Source organism: Homo sapiens, chromosome 9 (genome assembly GCF_000001405.40).
Source record: "Homo sapiens chromosome 9, GRCh38.p14 Primary Assembly".
Classification (NCBI taxonomy): Eukaryota; Metazoa; Chordata; class Mammalia; order Primates; family Hominidae; genus Homo; species Homo sapiens.
The window spans coordinates 9,378,629-9,404,241 of record NC_000009.12 but is presented as its reverse complement, the minus strand read 5'-3'; the positions used below and the strand labels follow the sequence as shown (position 1 = coordinate 9,404,241).

The 25,613-nt window shown below is 34.7% G+C and overlaps 1 protein-coding gene across 38 annotated transcripts in view; it reads left to right on the top strand.

Annotated features, from left to right (window-relative positions):
- Positions 1-25,613, top strand: part of PTPRD (protein tyrosine phosphatase receptor type D) — a 2,298,757-nt gene that overhangs the window by 1,208,761 nt on the left and 1,064,383 nt on the right. For all 38 annotated transcript variants that reach the window (NM_002839.4, XM_017014961.3, XM_006716827.5 and 35 more), the window contains one exon: positions 6,760-6,793. The gene's annotated coding sequence lies outside the window, so the exon portion shown is untranslated. The remainder of the gene's footprint in view (positions 1-6,759; positions 6,794-25,613) is intronic.

Genomic DNA, 25,613 nt, shown 5'->3' with positions numbered 1-25,613 from the left:
AAACCATAATGTCACTCAACTTCTTAAAACCCTCCAATGACTTTGCATTGCCCTTGGAATATAAACCCAAATTTCTTGGCACTGGCCTACTTGCACTCCTTAATCTGGCCACCTACCTCTCTAAATGTATTTTTTACCACTCTGTTCTGCTTACTAGATTCTAGTCACATTGGCCTTCTTTCTGTTGCTTGAATATAAGTGTACACAAGTCCTTGTGTACTAACTGTTCCTTTACATAAACATTCTGTCTTCTTACCTTGCATGGCTGGCTTGTTCTGTGTTGCTCAGGCCTGCCCATCCAATCTAAATATTCCTCCTTTGAGCTATATTACATGTTTTATTTTCTCCATTTCACTAATTATCTGAAATTATCTTATTCCTTTATTTGTTTAGCTGTGTATGGTCTTTCTCTTGCCTCTCCATGCCACAATAATGTAAGTAGGAAACATGTCCACATGGTTACCACTATATCCCCAATGCCTAAAATAGAATACAAAACATATTAGGTGTTAAAAATATTCGTTTTATAAACAAACATTTAAAATTTAGTTTAATTAATAAAAAAATTAATAAATTATCTTACTCATTTTATCCCACTGTATTTACTTACTGATTTGTTTGATATTACACCACTGTTTATTCACTGGATTTATCACATGGTTAAAATATTTTTTACAATGTAAGAGAACAGGGAGAAATGAAATAGAGTCATTTTTTATAGAAGTGCATGGAGGTGTGGAGAGTGATTATGCAGTGCTTTCAAAATCTAAGGAGTGCATCTTACTTCGGATATGATTTGCTTCCTGGAGAGAGAGAGAGAAAGAGAGAGAGAAAATATAACAATATTTAGAAATGTATCACAACTTATACATGTGATATCACAATTCGTACATTATTCTTTTAAGATTAGTTCTGGGTTTTTTGTTTTGGTTTTTTTTTTTTTTTTTTTTTGAGACAGAGTATTCCTCTGTCGCCTAGACTGGAGTATAGTGGCACAATGTCAGCTTACTGAGACCTCTGCCTCCTGAGTGCAAGCAATTCTCCTGCCTCAGCCACCCAAGTACCTGGGATTACAGCCTTGTGCCACCACACCCAGCTAATTTTTTGTATTTTTAGTAGAGATGGGGTTTTACCATGTTGGCCAGGCTATTCTTGAATTTCTAACCTCAAGTGATCCACTCGCCTTTGGCTGCCAAAGTGCTGGGATTACAGGCAGGAGACACCGCGCCTGGCACCTCATTTTTTTTTGGTGTTTTTTTTTTTTTTTTTTTTTTTCTCCCTATTAGACAAATGTTGAACCATCTCACCGTAATTTTCACATACCATATGCCCTCTCACTACATTATTTTTCATTGCTTCTCTGAGCAACATTATGGATAATTTCTTCAGCTCTGCCTGCCCATTAATTCTTCCTTTAGTTGTGTTTAATATATTGGTTTATTTACTCAGTTTCAATTATTTCATTTTTCTGAAAATGGGTACCCACTGAAAATTGTCTTTTTTTTTGATATGTCTTTCACATACTTGCTCAGACATCTTTTATTTTTAATAATTTTAAATACTCATTTCATAATCTATGTTTGGAATTGCATTATCTCAATGTTTTGGTATTTCTAATCTTGATCTTGATCCTTGTACTGACTTTCACTCAAGATTTCCTCATGTGTTTTATAACTATGGATTTGAGCTTGTACTTAACAGGATTTTATATTTATAAATCCTAAGTGTCCTCTGTTGAGAATGTACCCTTCCAGAGAAATTTGGTGATTAAATGTATGAGGTAACAACACAGGAAGAAATTTTTTGTTAAATCTCCCTTTAGGATTTCTTTGTCCTTGTGGGTGGTATAAATTCAAACCTGAAACATTTGTGACAGATTTTTAGGAGAGACTTTTTATCACTTCTCCTAGAGATCCCAAGGCTCTTCTTTAAGATTGACAAATGTTGCAGGGAACATCCAAATATCACTGACTGCATATTAACCATTTCCACTTTTTTCTTCAGTTTTGGCCACTGGACATTTCTGTACTATATTTTTTTCAAGGATGCATTACAGCATTTGTCATATTTTATTCCAGTATTTCAAATATGTTTTGCATTAAGATCGTTTACTGTCGGTTTACAATATCTGACACAACTTTTTGGCAAAAATGAACCAACTTTCGTTTGTATTTTTATGTTTGCCCTGTAATAAACACGAAGAACTCACAATTATGACTGCATTAGTCCATTCTCACACTGTTATAATGAACTGCCTGAGACTAGGTAACTTATAAAGGAGAGAGGTTTAATTGACTCACAGTTCTGCTTGGCTTGGGAGGCCTCAGGAAACTTACAATAATGGCGGAAGGAGAAGCAAACATGTCCTTCTTCACATGAAGGCAGAAAGAATTGCCGAGCCAAGAGGGAAAAATCCCTTAATAAACTACCAGATCTCGTGAGAACTCACTCACTATCAGGAGAACAGCAGCATAGAGGTAACCACCCCCATGATTCAATTGCCTCCTACTGGGTCCCTCCCAGGACACATGGGGATTATGGGCACTACAATTCAAGATGCGATTCCGGTGGGTACGTAGAAAAACCGTATCAATGACTGGAGGAAGAGTTATTTGTATTTCAGGGAAAAAAAAAAAATAAGATATAACATTTGGACTTCTTGTTTTACAGAGAAAGGCTGGTCTATATTTTTGGCTCAGGCTGTTTAAACAATATATATATAGTAAGGTCAGTCATACCAATTACCCTTCATACTCAGTTCCTTTCCCCGTTACCATTCACCTTTTGCCACTTCAGTCCAAGTCCTGGACTTAGTCCTGACTGATATGAGAAATAAGGACTGGAGTTTTGGTATGAGAAAAAGGAAATGCCAAAGGACAGAGAAATCTGATGTAATTAGAAAAGAGGGGGATTTCTCTGATTACTTGTGTATATATATCTGTATATATGTGTGCGTATGTGTATGTGTGTGTAATAGAGACAGAGATTATTATGTATGCATGTATGTATTTCAGTGATATTACTGAAACTCATAAGAATTTCATTGCAAAAATAATTTTCTATGCCCAGAATGGGTACCTATTTGCATTTATTTTTATAATTATTTCTATAATTGGTTCTACAAGTCAATACTGAAATAGCTTGTTTATTCCTACCACCTGCCTAGTACAGATATACAGAGAAGGTAATAATATATATTTAATTTTTTCTTCACTGTATTTTCCAACAAATCATATGATCACAATATTGGGACAATATCCAACTTAGTATTCTGTTCCTGCATTCAAATGCCAGGATTCTTTTATAGAAAATAGACACCCTTTATAAGAATTAAATGGTCGAATATGGAGAAGTGGATGGGTAATTCTAAAGGTTATTTGAATAAATTTGCATCTGAAAGGTTCTCAGGAAACTTCTTTTAAGAGAAACTTTCTGTAGGTGCATATGCTATCCATAAATCAATTGATTTGGTTTGACTCCATTTCCTCACTCTTACCAGCATCACTAGAGTCAAAGCAAAAGCTCCAAAATTGTTTACAGTATCTTCCTTCTTCTCTCAATCAATAGTTATATATTTAGTAATTATCTGTTTTAACTGGAAGGATTTCTATATTTTCCAGATGCCACTCTCAGGAGCTAATCAAAATTCTGTAGGGGGTGGGGAGATGTGGTTGGAAATGAATGGAAAAGATAATTGAACTGAAAAAAAACTTTTTTTTTGGTTAGATAAAGGTAGCGAATTAGATCCACAGTTAACAATTATACGTCATTGAAAATATGTTGTAGTATTAGAAGGACGGATTTTGATTGGTCCTATTATCTGGTGTTTTCAATCATGTGAAAGAAAATCTCCTTTTAAATGTCCTCAGAACAGATACTGGGGACATTTAAATATTCCCTGCTTTATATTTCTCTCTGGGGAGAGTATCTTAGTTAAATTTTGGTTACCATTTGAGTAAAATAGACGACTGCCATTGAGTCATTATTTGTAGGAAGCCATAGATCTCTGCTGTTCCTTACCCAACTATGTTACCTCTGGCACGGAAGGTAACATATTGTGCAAGTCAGCAATAAATCAATGGGTACTTACAACTCATATTTTTCTATTTACTCATCTACCTGTGCCAGTCCAAAAAAAAAAAAAAAAAACTAGTAGGTAAAGTTAGGTCCACACTCTATTTTTTAAAGAAAGTCAAAATAATATAGATGATAGGTATTAATAATTATAACAAAAATTCAGTTCACTTTTATTAATATTTCCAAAGGTACTTCCATGATTTCTGATTATTCTATTTAGAACATGTATTAGTCTGTTCACATGCTGCTAATAAAGGACATACCCAAGACTGGGTAATTTAGTAGAGGAAAGCTGTTTACTGGGTAATTTAGCAAAGGAAAGATGTTTAATTGATTCATTCACAGTTCCACATGGCTGGGGAGGCTTCAGAATCATGGCGGAAGGTGAATGAGGAGCAAAGTCATGTCTTGCATGGTAGCAAGCAAAGGAGCGTGTGCAGGGGAACTCCCCTTTATAAAATCATCAGATCTCATGAGACCTCTTCACTATCATGAGAACCACATGGGAAAGACCCGCCCCCCATGATTCAATTACTTCTCACTGGATCTCTACCACAATATGTGGGAATTATGAGAGCTACAATTTAAGATGAATTTTAGGTAGGGTCACAGCCAAGCCATATCAGAACACTTTGAAAACTTTGACCTTTGGAGGGGAAAATGTCCAATAATAATCTAGACTTACCAGCACATTTTAAATTACTGAGTAGCATTCTACTGTAGGGGTGTCTTTAAATCACAAATACTTTAGAGAAAAATTGTAATTGTGTGTTAGGTCATGTTCCTCCTATGATGAGAACCAGAGGGGATTGGAATGAAAAGCACAAAATCTGAGAAGCTGAACGTTGAACTATCACATTCTATGCTTAGGTACAAAGAACCTAATAAAGTCCTCCCTCTTACCAAATTAAGAAACCAGTGCTTTTATTTTAAATACTTATGCTAAAGTTTTTACTTCTGTTACTTAAAATTTTATTATTCAGTAATACCTTCTCTTGATATGTAATATATTGCATGAAACAGTAAGAAAAGTTCTTAATGAAATAGCAGAATAGTGGATTTATAATTATTTTAGACACAGAAAACCTTAATACGAGTAACTACACAAAATTGTTTGCCAACATTTTGAAGTCTAAAGTGGTTGTGGGCCCTGAAGAATAGTGAAGTATGAGACATTGTGGGTATGTAATACACCTGTATGCTTCATATAGGCAGAGTCTGATCTAGCATAGTTGGCTAGGAGTATAAAATTAGCAACAAGGCAATGTTATTATTTCATTTTCCATAAGAAGATAAGTTCTCTTTTCTAAGATGATGCCAGTAACTTCCATCTTGGTGCTGGGGTGACCACGTTCATAGGCCAAAGCAAATCTATCACTGTTCCTCAAAACACTAACTTTTTATACAAAATTTAACCCTGTGGGGGGAAAAAACATGTTTTTTAAATCTAAAAAATATAAAAATAAAATGTATTCCCATATGATTGAAAAAGTCTTAAAGAATTTTTCTAAAAATCATTTATCAATAAAGGACATTCTTCACCCTCAATTTCTTTATTTTTTTGTTAAACTAAGAAGTTTTGTTCATAGGGTATATTACTATGACTTTAACAGTCAAGTTTTATTCCAGAAACTGCAATGGAAATTGCACTTTTCACTTAAAGAATGATTGACAAAATATGGAAAATGTGCACCATATGCTATCTATACACTAAATAAATTGTCTCCTTTAGCTCAACTAGAATCTTCTGGACATCTCCTATTTCAGAGGCATAGCAGGAAGTCTTCTGGGTAGGGAACAATGAACAGGGTTAAGGCATAAACACCAATATGGGCTAAACACACAAAATAGAATCTGATAAATACTGTAATAAACATATAAAATATGGTGGGAACATCTAGAAAGAGAATAATTTCTTCTCTAGGTGTCAAGACAACCTCTATTGAAGAAATGTTAATTGAGCTGGCCATAAGGAATGGCTAGAAAAAAATATTGAGGCAGAGCAAATGAAGTAAACCGAAGTATGGAAGGAAGGAAGGGAGAAAGAGAAGCAGGGAGGGAGGGAGGGAGGAAGGGAAGGTGGGCTTATGATTCGAGACTAGTGTACAAGGGAAAATAGTGGGAGATAAACTTGAAAGGTAGCATGAGTATGCACTGGAGAATTATGGAAAAGAATCATAAACAGTTAGAATAGGACCAACCTACTAAAGCTCCTGAATGCTATGCTAAACACTTTAGTTTGTTTTAGGTAGGCAACAAAGAGAATTTTTGAGCTCAGGAAGGTGGTGTATATGGCACTGTCAGAGCTGAGAATTAGGACCAGTAATTCAAGATTGTGTTTGTGCCAGGACCAAGATTGTATTAAAGAGATGACTCTGTATTTTTGCCTGCCTTTTAAACATATATATCAGAAGAAAATATTGGTGCAATACATATATATGCCAGGTATGCCTATAAAAAAGATTTTTGAATAAACAACTAATATCTTTTTTACTCCTTAAATGGTGGTGATGAAACACTTTCATCTGAAATAAATAATTGAGGTCAGATAACGTATCTTCATTGCTTACTTAATTTTATTTTGCTTCTATAGATATGTCCATAACATGTGTTTGAAGACAATTTGAAAGGTTTTGGTAGTTTTTATGATCACAATATCAAAATACATTTTTGTTGTTTCAGATGATGGTGCCTGTCCATTAACTGAACAACTGTGGTAAGTTTATTTTGCTCATCTTATGTCTGCACGGAATACTTTTCTTTTTGATATTCTAAAGGTTTTATTTTACCTATAAAACCTTTGGTTAAAATTCTTTGAATGAGTTTCCTTCTGGCAGTTCATTAGGCATTTTAGGATGTTTTGTTTCTTCTTTTCAATTAAAAGTAAGACTTTAGTTTTCAACCAGATTTTGTCAACAGAGATGTTTATTTTCACAAATGCTTCACTTACTCAAACTTTAACAATCTCTCAATCAACTAGAAAAGTAATATCCTGTTGTTAGTTACTCTTTTAGTAGTTACAAGAAATACTTTATAGTTTTTAGATTGATAGCAGAATACCCAGTGGATACTGACACAAAAATTATTTTTTGTTTTCTCTACTATCCATACCATAAGAGAAAGAAGAAAAAAGAATTTACATTCCTTAGCTTACATAATTGCCTTATATTGCTATGATTATTCATTGGAAACTAAGATGAGTGGATATAACTTGGAACAATATAGTTAATCTCTGGAGAAGTTGCTACCCATTTATGTCTCTCTTGGAAGAATAAACACAACATATTTGTGTGCTTTCACAGTACTGGTAAACTGGTATTTTCAAGGATTCTCTGCACATTGCCAGACTTAGAGAAAGAAGACTCTACATAAAATTGTTACTCATTTTACTTCTTGAGAGTTTACCAGTTTAGAGCAGATTGAGAGAAAGTGTTGCATTTTTTGTTCTTATTCAATTGCGATAAGGAAAATGTTATGAAAGAGTGTCTTTGTATAGCATCCTCCCCCTTCCCTCAGACTAGACTGCTTGGTAAAATAAGAAATGGCCAGAGTGGGAGCTGGTTGGCAGGAAGATAACAATTTTGAAGGCGTAAAAAAATTTACATAGGTTTTGGGTAAGAAATAATAGATCAACTGTATGGGATGCTGTATGTGGTGTGACTTAAGAAAAAGCAAATGTTGGAAAAAAATATTAAAAGCCTTATTGTATATTACATTGGTGCTTCTCAAACCTTAATATGTCTATGAATAATGTGGGCTATCTTTTCAAAACGCAGATTCTGATTTAGAATCTGAGCTGAAGTAAGGCCCAATAATATGCATTTCTATTAGTTCCTAGGTGGTACAAAGCTGCTGGTTTAAAGACCATGCTGTAAATAGTAAGGTAGTATATAAATAACTCTGTTCCTTTGACGGCTCCCCAAGGGACTTCAATCAAGACATTAATTTTTCAAACGTTTGATTTGGTTTTGACTTTTAGTGCTCTTGATTCAGTGTTCAAAGATTATCTTAAGATTTACAGCAAAAATGCTGTTTTGTTGAGTCACATACAAAAAGAACTGGGTCTTGACTAGCTTCTATGTCTGTTTTCCCTCTTATTACCTAATTATTCCAGGGTAAACTGTAAAGGATTGAAGAAAGTCAGTCTCTTTCAGTCAAGTAATTTGTGAGTGAACAAAATACAAGATTTTACAAAAATATAAATATATTATTCTAATACTGCAATCTATTCAAAGGCAATCATATCACTTTGCAATAGTCCGATTACAAAAAGCAACAACAATGGTTGTGGGGGTAGATAGTCCTAACCATAATACAAGTAGACGTTATCGTCATTATTATGCTTGAAAGTACTTGAGTTTTGCTTGAAAATGTGATAAAATGCTTTTGGTTTCGTACCACATTCCTACTGACGTTGTGAATGCTTTCCAGTCTATTTGTTCAGCTAGTTCAGATCTCAAGATTACTGAGAAAAGGGGGTAGATGCCAAAGTTGGCAGGTTTGGTTAGTAACCATGAATAATGGGGTCAAGAGGAAATTGGTGCAAGGAAATCTGCCACTGGTCCACTGGTACAAGGAAATCTGAAGAATATTCTGAAACCCAGAGTCTTGTAGGTGCTTGAAGAAGGCCATGGAAGTAGAAGTTTCAAAATCAATTGAAGTTTTCTGCTAAAACTCTCCTTTCTTAAACCAGGTTGCATATCAGAATCAACTGTGAAGTCGAAAAGGCTAGTTAGACCTGGGTAGTACCCAAACCAATTAACTCAGAGTCTCTCAAGGTAAATGAAGCCTAACATCTAAACTTTGATGCTTCAGCTCCCTGGTGATTATATCAGGAAATGGAGTTGAAAATCCCTTACATTAGGGCCTGAAATTTTACATTTTCAACAAGTTCTCAAGTGATGTTTATGTTGCTGCTTTGTGGATCACACTTTGAGTAGCAAGGACCTATTAGACCCCATACTTTTTTTTTTTTTTGTTTCATGTTCCTGGGAGGGTCAGCATCAACTGGGAGTAGTCATCTTCTCTCTATGGATGAGGGGAGGAAGGGAAAGGAAGAAAGGAGAGAGGAGACATCCAAATGGCACATGGTGGAGACATGGTAGAATGCACAACTCCCCACAGGATTGAATTTATAGGTCAATGGAAAAACCCCTGTACCAAAATAGCTTCTCTAATTAAATCATATGGTACCTGAACATGCATTATTAAAATTCATTTGATTTCACTGCATTCCAAAGCTGACTATGCAAACATGATCTTTGGTGCAATTGTTACAAATATAGAGCATGGAAGGAGGAGTAGAGTGGGCAGGGATCTGGATTTTAATAATCATCCCAGATGATTTTAATCAAAAATGGAGCTTGGAAGCCATTGTTTTAGACCACACAACACCATCTCTCTTGACTTTCTTTCAATATGCTACATATTCCCGTTCTTTAAATCAATAATGTATATATACTATTCTATGCACCAATAGAGCTCAATATAACAAGATAATGATAATAACAAGAGCTACATGGTGATGACTATTTGCCAGGCACTGTTCAGAGTTTCATATTTATAAGGACAATCCTAGATAATATGTGCTATTATTATCATCTTTACATATAAGAAAACTGGGGCACAAAAATATTAAATTGCTAAAATTTACGTAACTGGTAAGTGTTAGAACTGAGATTCAAACTCAGATATTCTGGCTACACAATACATGTCCTGTAAACTTCCAATCAGTTGTGAATTGATCCATGTATTCAACAAACACTTCTGGAGGAGCTTTTATATACTAGGCAATTTTTAAGGCACTAGGAATAGAGCACTAAAGGCAATAAAATATCTTCCCCTATGGAGATGTCCTTCTAGTGAGAGATGCAAGCTCTTATTTTTAGAACAACCAGAATTTTTTAAAAGGTCTCAGCATTAATGACACGAAGACACAGAATTCAAATATAGCCATTCCATTTGCTTTCTGAATGATTTTGTCAAATCTCTTTACCTGTTTAGTAATCTGATTAAATGATGTAAAGGGACATGTAAATAACTTATTTTTATTACATCATATTTTAGGATAATAAAAGTTTTGTGTGTATGTATGGTTTAAAAAATTAAAGTTTTGTGTGTATGTATGGTTTAAAAATGTCTTAATGAAAAAGGTTGATTTTCTCCGTGGCAGTAGACACTAAGGGCATCATGAAAGCACTAGCTATCAGGAAAGTATTGGTGGCAATGTTGCGGAGTTCGTGTTGGCATGGGTGCTAATAGTTATGATATTTGTGATAATGGTGATGTTGACTGAAATGATGAAATTGATGGTAATTACTACCACTTATTAAGCACTTACTATAGCTCAGGCCTTGTGCTAAATTATTTATATTCAGTATTTAATCCATTCCGCAGCCTTGTGGAAATAACAGTGTATTTTAGAGCTCAAGAATCTGAGGATTAGAAAGCTTAAACTACTCACCAAGTCACATAGCTCAGCAAATAATGGAGGCTGAATTTAACCCAACTATATCAATTATCTGTTGCTATGGAAGAAACCACCCTAAATCTCAGTGCCTTAAAATAAAAATTTGTTATTCCTCATGATGCTGAGAGTGGATTGACTATGCAGTTATTCCACTCCAATAAGTGTCAATAGGGATCTCATGCAACTATATTCAGCTAAGAGATTAACTGGAGGTCTCAGTTCTTTTCCATGTGGCCCCTCTTTCTATATGGTGAGTCACCTTCCAATGGCTGTCCATATATCCTTTCCATATAGCAGACTAGCATGGTTTTTCGCATAGCATGCAGCTCAGCTCCAAGGAGTTTTGCAAAGGAGAATCCCCATTGCAAGTGCCTCTCCTGGTATCAAGCTTGCTAATGTCCCATTGGTCAAAATAAGTTATATGAACAAACCCAGAGTTAATGAGAAAGATGACAAGTATACGCATACCTGGAGGCATGGTTCAGTCTATCACACCAGATGTTGTTGCAGGGCTTTCTTCTCAGTTCAGCTAAAACCAGGTTCTTGTCACATGGCCAGGAAAGATTAGGTTCGTGGACACATAGAAGGGTGAGAATAACAATTTATTGGGTAAAAAAGGAAAAAGAGAAAAACTTTCAGCTGAGCAAGAGGGAAGCCGATTAACCAGCTCCCGCCCCATCACACAGGAACTTAAGAGACCAGGCTCCTCCCCTCTGCAAATGACAGGAATTTCCATGGCTCCACCCCATTCTCCCAGTGTGCAGGTTGGTCAGAGGTTCTCCAGGAAGCCCTTTTTGCTTGGCTGTCTCAATGTGGCTGACTCTAATTACTGTAATATAGTTTCATTACTATATATTCCCTCCCTGAGGAGATTGAAAGTGAAGACTGGAAGAAAACAGACTACAAAATATTGTTGAAGAGACATCATAGACAAATTTGACCTGGGCTTATTCCAATAACAGTGGGTCATCTATGTAGCCAAGAAGAAATGCATTATAGAAAATTCAGTGTTACGTAAAAGCAAGGTTCAAAGTTCGAAAATTCAGAGACTTTGAAAGGATCTCTTTATAGCCTGATTATCAAATTACCCTAGAGTCACAGCAAAGGTAGCAAAACTGAAAATTTACAAGCTAGAATTCTACTCTTGACCTAACATAGGATCCCATTCTTGCAAGGACACATCTGCAGGCAGGTAGACAACAGAAGGACCGTGGTAATTTTGTATCTACTGATATGAGACAATTTTATCTCAGTTGAATCCTCAAGACCAAACCCAAATATGCAGAAAAGATCTTGATTTGAATGATTAAAAAGCTAAGACTTCTGCTGTTACCAATGACCTATCTGTAATGTACAGAAGTCTCATTTTGAGGTTGTGAATAACTTTGCATTGTAAGCAGGTTTATGACCCAATGGGCCTGTCAGGATGACTTAACTACAAAACAAACATCCCACTTACTAAGAGCTTTACACTGCGGTCATCAATGTGCCCAGATTACTGTATGTAGCACACTGCTCTCGCTGAGGGCCAAGGGGAGTCTCAGTTGTCCAGCAAGACCATAATGAAATAACGAGTTTTGCCTCACTGCTTTTCCGGCTATTTCTTTTTTCAGGAACTCTACAGAGAATATTTGTCTCTAGGACTATAAATTTGGTACTTTCCACCACCTCTAAATTTTCTCTGTTGCTTAAGAGTAGTAAGGATCAACACCCTACTCTCATCATTTACAGACTAACAATGTGGAAAATTGAGTGAACTCAATATGATTACCACTCAAGGGTTCTCTCTGTGAACCAAAGTCTTCTTTAAATTTTGAGATACATTCCAAATAAGAAGGCAGAAAGGAACAAACGGTGTGTAGAAGAAACTTTTTGCTTTTTCTTAACACAGAATAGAAATACAGTGGCATTTCCCTCTATTATGACTAGAGGCAGGGCCCACCTCCCATGTTTTTCCAGGGAGTTTGGTTTTACTACTTAATAAAAACTGAAAACATATTACTATAAATGGAAGAGAAATAATGCCCTAATATATCAAGTAGAGATTTCTAAGTTGCACCAACAAAATAATTTGGTGCATATACAAATGAGGACTCACATGTACAGAATTCAGATTTTGTGTATGCAAAACAGATAATTGTACAATCAAAGAAGTGCCTTGATTAAAATCATTGTATATGCAAATTCATCACTTGCTAGAGTAGTTATATTTTGGCACATGCATACATAATTAGTGATTTCTAATTTAAGGTAATGTCATGATAGAAATAGTCTTACCTAGTGGCATTCATGTTTTACCCATTAGTCAAATCAAGTCTTATATTTTTTATTCTTTTATTTTGATAATCACATTAGTCATTTAAAAAATGAAATGTCTCCTTGTTTATCAATATCATTTAAAAATCAGAGTAGTTTATAGCCTCTAGTTTTGAAAACTGGCTACACAAATTATTCCTTGGAAAATACTGATATGTCAAATGTTGACTCACTTTCAATTTGGGGGCTTATTTTAAATGATAAAGCAGTAAATGTGTAACATAGAATATCCCTGATCATAAACCCTCCATTCATTTCATATTTTTATTCATATTTGACATTTCTGAAAATTAAATAGATTTAAAAGTCAATTAGTGCACTTAATGCAGTCTCTTATGCTTAAAGCAAAGCTCAACTTAATAATGCATCTCACAATAAAAACTATCTTATCAAGATATCTTGATAAACACCATCTTGCAATCAACACCATCTTCTTAGAAATCCAATCTTGTTATCAATGACAACAAACACTTGCCTGTGATTACTATTTGCCAGGTCACTACCCCTCACAACCAGCATGTAAGATGGATTTACTGAATTTCACAGATGAGGAAACAAACACAGATTACTAATGTATTAATAACTCTTTCAAAGTCACACAGCAACTGCTTGACCAAGTGAGGAAATTCAGAACTTGATAAGACTGTGCCTGCTGTCCTCCTTAAAAGCAACACTAAGTCTGCTTCAGTTGATCATGTAAAGCATCTGTGACTGTACTAAAAGTTGTAATGAGATCTACTTGTCCAAGAGTTATCTCCTTGATCTCTTACCTCTTTTACCTGTCCTAAGGCAATAATAACAATAATAACACATTTTTAAATTTTTAAAATTATTTTCTTCTTTTCTCTTACTCTCTTATCTTTTATTGTTTCTATGAATACTTTAGGACATTAGATAGCTGTTCAGAGGGCCTGGAGAACTGCAAGACAGAATCTACCATTGACTGATAGAGTGGACGAGTATTTCATGGAGCCCAGGAATTTGTTTTCCCATTTCTCTTAATAAGTATATTAAAAGTAAAAATCTAAGTACTTCTGTATTCTAATTCACATAATCTTTGCTCAAAACTCTCCAATGGATCCTTAATCTTACTCAGAATGAAAGCCAAGTCCTTACAATGGCCTTCAAAGTTGCCCATCACCTAACCTCCTGTCTGACATGGTTTCCCACCTCCATCTTCCTCTTTCACTTGCTTAAGATAATCCGGCTTCCCCGCTGTCCCAGGAATCCCCAACCAATGTCAGGCTGGAGGACTTTGGCCTCTGCTCTCTGTACCTGGAGTGCTTTCTCACATAACAGCATGTGACTTCCCCTAGCAACCTTGAAGTCTCTGCTGAAATGTCACCCTACCGCAATGCTTTTCTCCCACCTCTGTCTCTTCTTATCCCACTTAATGCTCTTAATCTATTTTCCATTGCCTCCAGAGCACTTACCTACCTTGCCTTTGATAAATCTATTTATTTGTCCAGCCTTTAATACTAGAATCTATAGAAACTAGGGAAGCCATAAGAAAGGATTGACTTTGTTTAGAATATCCCCTCCTGTATCCCCAGGCTCTGGCACAGAGTGAATGTTCAATAACTATTTGTTGCACAAATGGACAGTCAAATTATAGAAATAAACAAGTAAATGAATATTCTAGGACTCTATTCAAGGATTCCCTACTTAGCTGTTGCTAGAATGACTGTCTGTTAGGTACAGTATCAAATGGTTTTCTTTACAGCATAATACACATGAATATATATTCAAGGCTTCTCAATGGTTGGTATATCTCATTTTATGAGGCAAGTAAAAAAGGTGAAACTTAAAGTTATTGCAATTAGAGATAAATTACTGGAACATAATTAATGTTTTTTTATTATTATTATTATTTTGAGATGGAGTTGGAATGGCCCAAGCTGGAGTGCAATGGCACGATCTCAGCTCACCACAACCTCTGCCTCCCGGGTTCAAGCAATTCTCCTACCTCAGCCTCCCGAGTAGCTGGGATTACAGGCATGTGCCACCACGCCCGGCTAATTTTGTATTTTTAGTAGAGATGGGATTTCACCATGTTGGTCAGGCTGGTCTCAAGCTCCCAATCTCAGGTGATCCACCTGCCTCGGCCTCCCAAGGTGGTGGAATTACAGGCGTGAGCCACTGCGCCCAGCTGCGTTTTACTATTTTTGAGAACATAATAAAAGCAATCATTAAGCAGTATGCTGCTAGATATATTACCCCTATTTTACATGTTTTACATATATTATCAAATTTAATCCTCACCACAACCTTATAATGGAGGCACTATTATTATATCAATTTCATAAATGAGAAAAATGAGGCACAGAAAAAGTTTAGTTACTTGCCCAAAGTCAGAGACAATCCCATAGACTCCTATTACAAACTGAAATATATGCATATATATTTTTTCTCCCACACTGATTTATTGTTCAGCACCAACTCTCCCTAATGATCCTGATTAAAATGCCCACTGTGAAAGATTTTTTTTTCAGGAGACTGGCAATATTATTGCATTCCCTTATACTCATTATCTCAGAAAGCCTGTTTTATTATTTATTCTTTCTGAGTGTTTGAGAAATTATCTTGGAGAAATTAACAAAATGCATTAGTATACATATGCTACTTACTTTCCTTAGACTAATACCTATAATTACTGGAATAAAATATTTTTATTTAATTTTTTTATGGCAGATTTCAGCTCGTATATTTAAAACTTTCCTGGTACAATCTGTTTTTTTAGTCATGTTTCTTCATAAACTTGTATATGAGAACAAGCCTGTGATTGAATGAAGCCTTAGAATCATTCACCATTGCTTTCTCTTCAGTACCTGACTGTTGCTTAAAACTAAGGTAACCATACATCTTAGTTTACTTGGACAGTCCTAGTTCATGTCTCTTCTCCCAGTGCAATTATTAGCATGCTATGCATTTAGATATATTGATACATTAGTGCTGGGAAGGGAAGAGAGTGGTCCCTTTAAATGATACAGAAGAGGGGAAGGGAAGTGCTGAGTAGAGGAGTGTGTGGTCCCTGGCTAAAGCTCCATCCCCACAGACCTAGTTGAGGACAGGCACTTCTGCCTTTGTGCCCAAATGTTGCATTTTCAAAGACCACCCTGGCCTGCCACAACCCCCATCCTGGGCCTATAAAAACCCAAGACCCTAGCAAGGTAAGGACAGAAGTTGCTGGACAGCAAGAGGAACATGTCAATGGAAGAAGACACAAGCGGCTGGTCATGGGGAAAACCAGTTTCCCTTCTGGCTCCCCCATCTGCTGAGAGCTACTTCTACTCAATAAAACCTTGCACTAATTTCCCAAGCCCACGTGTGATCCAATTCTTCCAGTACAGCAAGGCAAGAAACTCCGGGATACAGAAATCCCTCTGTCCTTGTGATAAGGAAGGGGGGTCTAATTAAGCTGGTTAACACAGGCCACCTATAGGTGGGAAACTAAAAGAGCACCCTGTAACACATGCCCACTGGGGCTTCAGCTGTAAACATTCATTTTTACCATAATGAAAATGAAATGAAAAACATTCATTTTTACCACAGACATTGCCATAGGGTCGGAGCCCCACAGCCTGCCCATCTGTATGCTCCCCTAGAGGATTGAGCAGTGGGGAGCTGAAGAAGTGAGCCATGCCCCCATCCCATAGGCCCTGAGAGGGGGACAAAGGAACCCTTCCTGTTTCAATGTGACAAATAATAGCATGTACTATCACTTTCAGAAGTGCCTCTGAAGTGTCCATAATGGACAATAATTTTCTGCTCACTTAATTTAAAGAAGATATGTGATATTTCTAGAAAGTATTAATAAAAGCAGAGGAGGGAATTTTTTTCAGCCAAGAATCCTATATTCAGTGAAACCACCCTTCAAAAATAAGGTTGAAATAAAAACATTTTCTCTTTAAAAAGAAAAAAGTCTGTACTCTAGGTATAAAAGGGGAAACGAATAAATGTCCTCAATAACTTTATTTTAATTTCAAAAGAAATAACTTAATTAAAATCTAAAGAAAAAAAATAACATTCACCAAAATGAGACACTCTAGCCCTAAACTGTGCTTCCACTTGCTTAATAGAAATTCTCTCAACAAATCTGAAAAACCAACTTGTATTATTAAAATAGTCTTTGCCAGGAAGGATAAAACATTTATTTCTCTGGGTCTTTACTAGATTTCACATAAACACACACTGAAAACATTAGAGATGCCCTAGCTGAAGTACTGTGTTCCATTTACTGTTGCAGAAAATTCATTCCAATGTAAGCCTTTGTAAATGTAGGTCTTTGGCCATTCTGGCTAAGACAAAGGAAAGAACAAATAATCAACCTTAGCACCTGCACTCACATCAAAGTCCCTCTGAGCGTTAAATAAGTTATGTTATTTCTCATCTGAGCTGTTAGGACACAAATTCTTGGAATTCTCATTCTGTAGATTTTGCATAAAGGGTTGTTTCATTTCTCCCTTTAGATAAGGGAAAATGCCTCTGTGTTGGGGCTCAGGAGCCTGAGATGGACCTTCAGTTCCCTTTTATTTCATAAAATACCAGAGTACATCCAAATGTCCATGAAGCCTCAGACCTATAAACTATAACCTACTCCTTGCCTTTATTATCTTTTTTTCCCCATCCAGAGGGTTAATTTAACAATGAACACAGAAATATTAATCATAATATTTGTGTGATTTTATGTACATGTGAAGGTTTTAATTTTTAGAAAATTAGGAAATATTTTAATTTTTCCTCATATTTTGCTATTTAAAATGCATTTTGCTACAACTCTCTCACCTCCTCCTCTACAAATATATATAATAACCATTGTTATAAAATGCATATTAGTCTTCAAAATGATTGACTTGGAAGACTTAATCATTACCAAGAGTCTCACCACTGCCCTGTTGAAGCTTCCAGAAAGGCTAATGCAACCACCATTCGTTTTACCGGGATCTACCCTCACTCTTCATTCTCTTATTTGCTGGAGTCTTCTCTACTAAAATATGTTGCTTGACATACCAGAGGCATTTGAAGTTGTTTTCTCAGTGCCGTACCTCATTGGTTCAATGTGAGGCATTTTAGCAGGTCAGCAACCCTAGGTGATGAATCCCCATGTGGTTCATGAGTCTGTAGACTCATGCCTGCCAGGGGCTCACATACTTCATTCCAGTCACATAGGATTAAGGGAAATCTAGAAGATGCATGTCATTGGAAACATATATTGGACGCTGTCATTGTAACTAAGCCTACAGACTAGGACTCAGGTAATACAATTTCACCTAAGCTTGGGGTAAACAAATAGTTGCCTCTTTTTGTAGTAGGAAGTCTAAAATTTTCCCTTAGGTAAGTATTTTCATATAAGATGCAGGCCATACTGGGCTTCTGAAATCTCCCAACACAGCTATTCCAGAAGCAAATAGATACACATACAAAGGAGGCTCCTGGTGAGTGTTCATACTTGTTTTATGATACAGCATATTTTAAAAGAACATAAGACTGGAGTCATAGTTAGGCTTAAATGACACCTCTAACATTTACCTTCTATGTATCTTTGGACTGTTCACTTTAATTACAAGATTATTTCTTCAAATGGAAAGCGGAATTTAAAAGTGACATTCACCCCAAAGTTATGTCGACTAAATGAGTTAATGTATATTAAATACATAGAAAAGTACATGGTTTAATGGGTGTTCCCTTACCCAGCATACTGAGAATGATCATTCTTCTTGCCTGTATTCACTTTCACTAAGGTTTGTCCAGTCTGGGCATCCACACAAGCATGCACATAGCCATGCCACAGAGTAGCTAGAAGGTTTATGGATGAAATACTTGCTCACTGAAAGGACTGGTAACTTTATTTCACACACTTTCCTGAAAATATATATGAAAGGATTGGTTTCCTGTGATTACTGACCCAGGTTAGGCTTAAAGCAAAAGTAGAATCTGTAAGCATTTTGAGATCCTTGTGAAAGATTGTCTAGTACTTCGCTTTCCTCTCATTTATCTCACTTTCCTCTTGTTTATTTTACTCTCTGGGACCACGTTTTGAAGACTGTTGATCATACGGAAGAAAAATAGTCTATATCCTGGAGGAAAACTGTGGCAAATAAATGTTTGACTAAAATTTCTGGCTGTCTTCATAGTGCTTGAAAGTCCAAATGAATATAGGTGAAAATGCCAAATTACTTTAAAGGCTTTCAGACAAGTGGATACTTGGTAAATGAAGACAGAACATGTGGGTTCATTATTCTTTTTTTCTGTTGATATTATGTCTACATCCTGGCATTATGTTGGAAGACCTGTGTTTGTTCAACCTATGAAAGAGCTTCAGTCAGGAAATAAATTTCCTATTGCCCAAATAGCACCTGATAGAAAAAATATAAATACTTCAAAGTTTGAAACACTGTTTAGAAAAAATGATATATTGAACATATATATGCTCAATCAATTATGAGAGATACTATGAACAACTTTTTAAAGTGTTTGAGAGTTTCAGAATGCATAATTGTTTCAGAGGCACTTTCTTTTCTAATGTCTCATTCCATAAGGGTGTTTTCTGCAACAGTCACCAAATAGAAATATCACTAAAAATCTGAAAACAAATAGTGAAGCATGAAAAAAGCAGCAATGAGAAAATTCATCATAATAGAAAGTCTGTATAATAATATTTAGTGATCAAGGAGCTCATTTTATTAGTATTGGCAAACAACCAACAACTACAAGTTACAAGAAACATTAACAACCAGGGTAAGAAAGCAATCAGTTTTTAAATGTCAAGGAATCTCCTTATTTATTTTTTAGGAGTTGGCTTAATTAGAAAAGTTGTTACAAGTGCCAAGACCATGAAAGGAACATATTTTACAAGTTAAATAAAAATGTAGTGAATACTTACTGCAAGAGCTCAAAAACTCGACCTCAACATACCAGGTGATTAGTGTTAGATTCATACAAAAATGATGTTTCTACATTGAACTATCTCTTGGATAGGGTTGTTGACCCACCAGAAAAAAAAAAAAAAAAAAAAAAAAAAAAAAAAAAAAAAAAAGCCTAGTCTTCTGCTCAAATATCATCTTCAACATAAAACCTTTTATACCTGACGTAAACTGCACACAAAATTTTACAATACACAACATGGTACACCGAAAATCCAAAGAAGCCTAGATTTATTCATCATCTTCTATACCTACTAGTTCACTGATTTTATGTAAGTAACACACTGAGATATATGTTTGTTTGTAAAATATAAATTATGTATCTATAAGCAAAAAAAAAAGTATGTGAAAAGTTTTTAATGTCCCTTCATTGTTTGAATTCAATATAATTAGTAATAGAATGTGGTTGTTGGCAAACTGTATCTCGTATATAGGTTTATGCTTATTAGACTTTTTGTGTGTGCACAGGGCCTTGTGTTTAGTTCTGGTCAATATACTGAGCAGGGTTAGATATCACTTCTGGAACAAGCATTGAATTACTGTTGCAAAAACACACAGAATGCTTTGTTCTTTCTGGAACAATGATTATCAGGATTCAAGGTAGCTACTCTTCTATTAGACTTGATCCCTGAGTCCCCATTGTGAGCTGAACGTCCTTGCTGAGGGACTCTGGAATTTTAGCGTAAGGGAGAAATAAATATTAACTTGAGATTTGGGCCTGTTTGCTACTGCAGCAGGACTTACCCTACACTTACCAATAAATATAATTAAGGTACCGCATAAAAGCTTATGATAACTTTTCATAAAAATAAATGTAAGCATAGATATAAAAAGTGACAATATATGAATCACAATTTTTTCTTAGCCAAATCATTTAACTTTAATAATGTATTGCTTAAAGCATTAAGACATTTCCAAACATGGCATTGCCTCAATCAAATAATATACTCAGGATGATGAAGAGCAAGTTGGTGATATTTTCTGGCCTCCTTATTCTAGAATTAATAAGTTCAGTTAGTACTTTGTAAATCACATTATACAAATTCTCTTAAGGATATAACATGGTGAACTTGTATGTCCATAGTATGCTTTCTGCCATCTGTTTACTTATTTTGTACTCAGAAATAAAATTTTAAATATTTATTAAATGTTTAATATGTTTAAAGCAGGTATTGGTTCATTGGATAGTATGAGAAAAAATAGGACAATTTTCTTGTCTTTAGGGAGTATATAGTCTAGTTGGAGAATAACTCTGGAAATGATATGAAAGTTATATAATAGCACAAAACCTGAAAAGTGCCAAATCACAAAAGAAAAATGGTAGGATTTCATAAAAAGTTATTTTGATCTAAAAATATAATTCCCAAATTTAAGAAATATAGAAACACAGTCTGGTGGTGACATGGCAGGGAATTTTACCTAAGATAATGTCCTTCAGATTCACCCATGTTGTTGCAAATGACAAGATTTTCTTCTTTTATAAGGCAACATAATATTCTATTATATAAATATACAACATTTTCATTTATCCATTTATCTATTGGTGGGCATTTAGGTTGGTTGTTTTTGTGTCTTGGCTATTGTGAATCGTTCTGCAATGAACATGGGAGGTAGATATCTCTGAAATTCTCATTTCAATTCTTTGAATGTATATCCAGAAGTAGGATTACCAAATCATATGATAAGTTTTATTTTTGATATTTTAAGGAAACTGCATAATGTTTTTCATAATAGCTGTACTGTTTTACATTCCCACCTACAATGTGCAAGAGTCCCAATTTCTCTGTCCCCTCATGGACACTTATTCTCTCTCTCTCTTTCTCAATAAAACCATCCTAACAGATGTGAAGTGATATCTCATTTTTCATTTTGATTTTGCATCTTTTAATATGCCTTGTGGTTGTTTGAATGTTGTCTTTGGGGAAATGTCTATTCAAGCCCTTTGCCCAGTTTCTATTTGGGTTATTTGTGTTTTTGCTATTTAGTTGTAGGAGATTCTTACATATTTTGGATATTAGCCCTTTATCATATATATGGTTTGCAAACATTTTCTCCCATTCGTAGATGACCTTTTTAATTTTGTTGATTATTTCTTTGCTGTGCATAAGCTTTGTTGCCTCTGCTTTTGTTATCATATCCAAAATGTCATTGCCAAAACCAATGTCAAGAAGTTTTTCCCCTAAAACTATCAGAACTAATGTATGAATTTAGCAAAGTTGTAATATATAAAATCAACATATAAAAATTACTTGTGTTTCTATAAACTAAGAATGAATCATTCAAAAAGAAAATTAAGAAAAAAAATCCCATTTACAATAGCACAAAAAAGAGTAAAATACTTAGGAATAAACTTAAACAAGGAAATGAAAAACTCATATACTGAAAACTACAGAGCATTGATGGTAGAAATGTAAAGAGACACAAATAAATGGAAAGATGTCCTGAGTTCATGGATTGGAGAATTTGGTGTTTTTAAAATGTGCATACTACCTATAGTGATCTATACATTCAATGTTATCCACATTAAAACCCCAATGATTTTTTTTTTTTTACAGAAATAGTCAAAACAATACTAAATTTCACATGGAACCACAAAAGATTCAAAATAGCCAAAGCAATCTTGGGGAAAAAAAGACATAAGCTGGAGATCCCACTTCTTGATTTCAAAATACATAACAAAGCTATAGTGCAAACTCGTATTGCAAACTTTATGGTAGCCACTAAAAAACAAACAAAAAAAAACAAAAACAAAAAACAAAAAACAAAACAACAAAAAAAAACAAACACTTTTTACAAGTGTAGCTGTCTGAGCGTGGTGGCCCACACCTGTAATCTCAGCACTTTGGGAGGCCGAGGTGGGTAGGTTGCTGAGCCCAGGAGACCAGCCTGGGAAACATGGTGAAACCCTGTCTCTACAAAAATACAAAAATTAGCCGGGTATGGTGGTGCATGCATATAGTCCTAGCTACACAGGAGGCCATAGTGAGAAGATTACTTGAGCCCAAGAGGTCAAGACTGCAGTGAGCTGTGATTATGCCACTGCACTCCAGCCGGGTGACAAAGTAAGACCCTGTCAAAAAAAAAATAAAAAAAAAAAGCATAACTGATGTACTAAGAAAAGAGAGAAAATTGAATCGTATAAATGTACAATTAAAACTACTCAAGGCAGTAAAAGAGTGAAGGACACAAATGAGAACAAAGAACTTGGACAAGAAATAGAAAAAAATAGTAACAAATTTAATAGTATTAAAACAACTATATCAATAATGACTTTGAAGAACAATGGTCTAAGTGCACAAATTAAAAGACAGAGATTGTCAGAGTAGATCAAAATATAAGACCCAACTATATGTTGTCTATAGGGAAGCCACATTTATATAAAAATCATTTATCGATTAAAAATAAATGAGTGAAGAAAAATATGCCATACTAACACTAAGCAAAAGAAATACGAATAGCTATTATTAGTTTCAGACAAAGCAGATTTCAAAGCAAATAAATGTATCAGGAATAAAGAAGAGCATTACATAATGATAAAAAGGTCAATTCTCCAAGAAGACGTAACAATTATTAACATATATACACCTAAAAATAGAGTGTTAAACTATTAATACAAGAGGCAGAAACTGATAGAATTATAAGGAGAAATGGAAGAATCCACAATCATAGAGATTTTGACAGTCCTGTATCAGAAATAGTCAGACACGTCAGGTAGAAAAACGGCAAGTACATAGTGTTGTTGACAACGCTATCCATCAATTGGATATAATTGGCATCTATAGACACTTCATCCAACAATGGCAAAAAAAATTCTTCTCAAACTCACATGGAACATTTACTAAGATAGACCACATTCTAAGCTGTGAAACACACGTGAACAAACTTTTTAAAAATAGAAGTTAAGAAATGTCTGCTTTCATATCACAAATCAAACTATAAATCAATAACAGAAAGATAACTGGAAAATTCTAAAATATGAGGAGATCCATGATGGGCTTATTTCACATTGCATGCCTGTATCAAAACATCTCATGTACCCCATAAGTATATATACCTACTGTGTACCCACAAAAATTAAAATTAAAAACAAATATATAAATAATAAATTGCATTCTTCTAAATAACACACAGGTCAAAGAAGAAATCTCAAGACAATTTTAAATATATTTTGAAATAAATGAAATGAAAACACAACTTATCAAAATGTGTGGGATGCAGTGAAAGTAGTGTCTAGAGAGATGTCTAGCATGATTAAAACTCTCAGTAAAACTAGGGATATAGGGAGAGTTCTTCAGTTTGATAAAGAATCTCTACAAATAACCTACAGCTAACTTCAAACTTAATGGTAAGACACTCAAAGGTTTTCAACTAAGAAAGGATTCCCTATCTCGCTACACCTTTAAACACCACATTTGAAGTCCTAGTTAATGTAACAAGACGAAATTAAAATATATAGAAGGGAAAAGAAAAAAATGAAAATATCTTTGTTGCAAATAAGATGATTTTCTATGCAAAAATACAAAAGAATCAAAAAACTCCTAGAACTAATAAGCAACTAAAACAAGATTCCATATACAAGGTTAAGATACAAAAGGTAATTGCTTTCCTATATACCAACAATGAACAAGTGGAATTTGAAAATAAAAACAAAATAACACTTACATTAGCACACTTCAGAAATAAACAGTAGGTAGAAATCTAACAAAAAATAAATGATCTATATGAGGAAAACTACAAAACTATAACAAAAGAAGTCAAAGGAAAACCAAATTTATGGAAATATATTTCATGTCCATGGATAGGAAGATATAATATCAAGATGTCAGTTCTTCCCAACTTCATCTGTAGATTCAATGCAATCCCAATCAAAATTTCAGAAGGTTAATTTATGGATACTGACGAAATGATTCTAAAGTTATATAAAGAGAAATAATATCCAGAATGGCAAACAGAATGTTGAAGGAGAAGAACAAAGTTGGAGGACTGATATTACCTGACTTGAACACTTAATACAAAGCTACAGTAATCGAGACTGCATGGTATTGGACGAAGAATAGGAAAGTAGATCAATTTTATGGAATAGAGAGCCCAGAAATAGACCCACATAAATACAATTAAATGGTTTTTGACGGTGGAGAAAAGGCAATACAATGGAGTAAAGATAATCCTTTCAACAAATGGGAGAGGGACATTGAACATTCACAGGCAAATATATATATATATATAAAATATATCAAATATATATCATATATATATATATCTCAACATAGACCTATGCCCTTCACAAAAATTTTTAACTCAAATGGATCATAGACATAAATGCAAAACTATAAAACTCAGAGAAAATAAAACGGGAGTAATTCTAGATGACAAAATATAGCAATGACTTTTTAATTATAACACCAAAGACTCAGAACATGAAAGAAATAATTGATAAGCTGGGCTTCATTAAAATAAAAAAACTTCTGATTTTCAAATACAATGTCAAGAGAATGAGAAGATAAGCCACAGAATGGAAAAAGAAAATATTTACAAAGGATACATCTGATAAGGAGCGGTTATCCAAAATATATAAGAAACTTAAAAATCAACAATAGGAAAAAATTAAAAAGTGGGTGAAAGATTTTAAGGGATACATCAGCAAAGAAGATATACAGATGGCAATTAAGCATATGAAAAGGTGATTCACAGTATATGTCATTAGAGAAATGTGAATTCAAACAACGATATACAACTACACACCTATTAGAATGTAAAAATCCCAGAACACTGACAAAACCAAATGCTAGCTAGGATATGGGACAAGAGGAATTCTGCTTCATTACTAG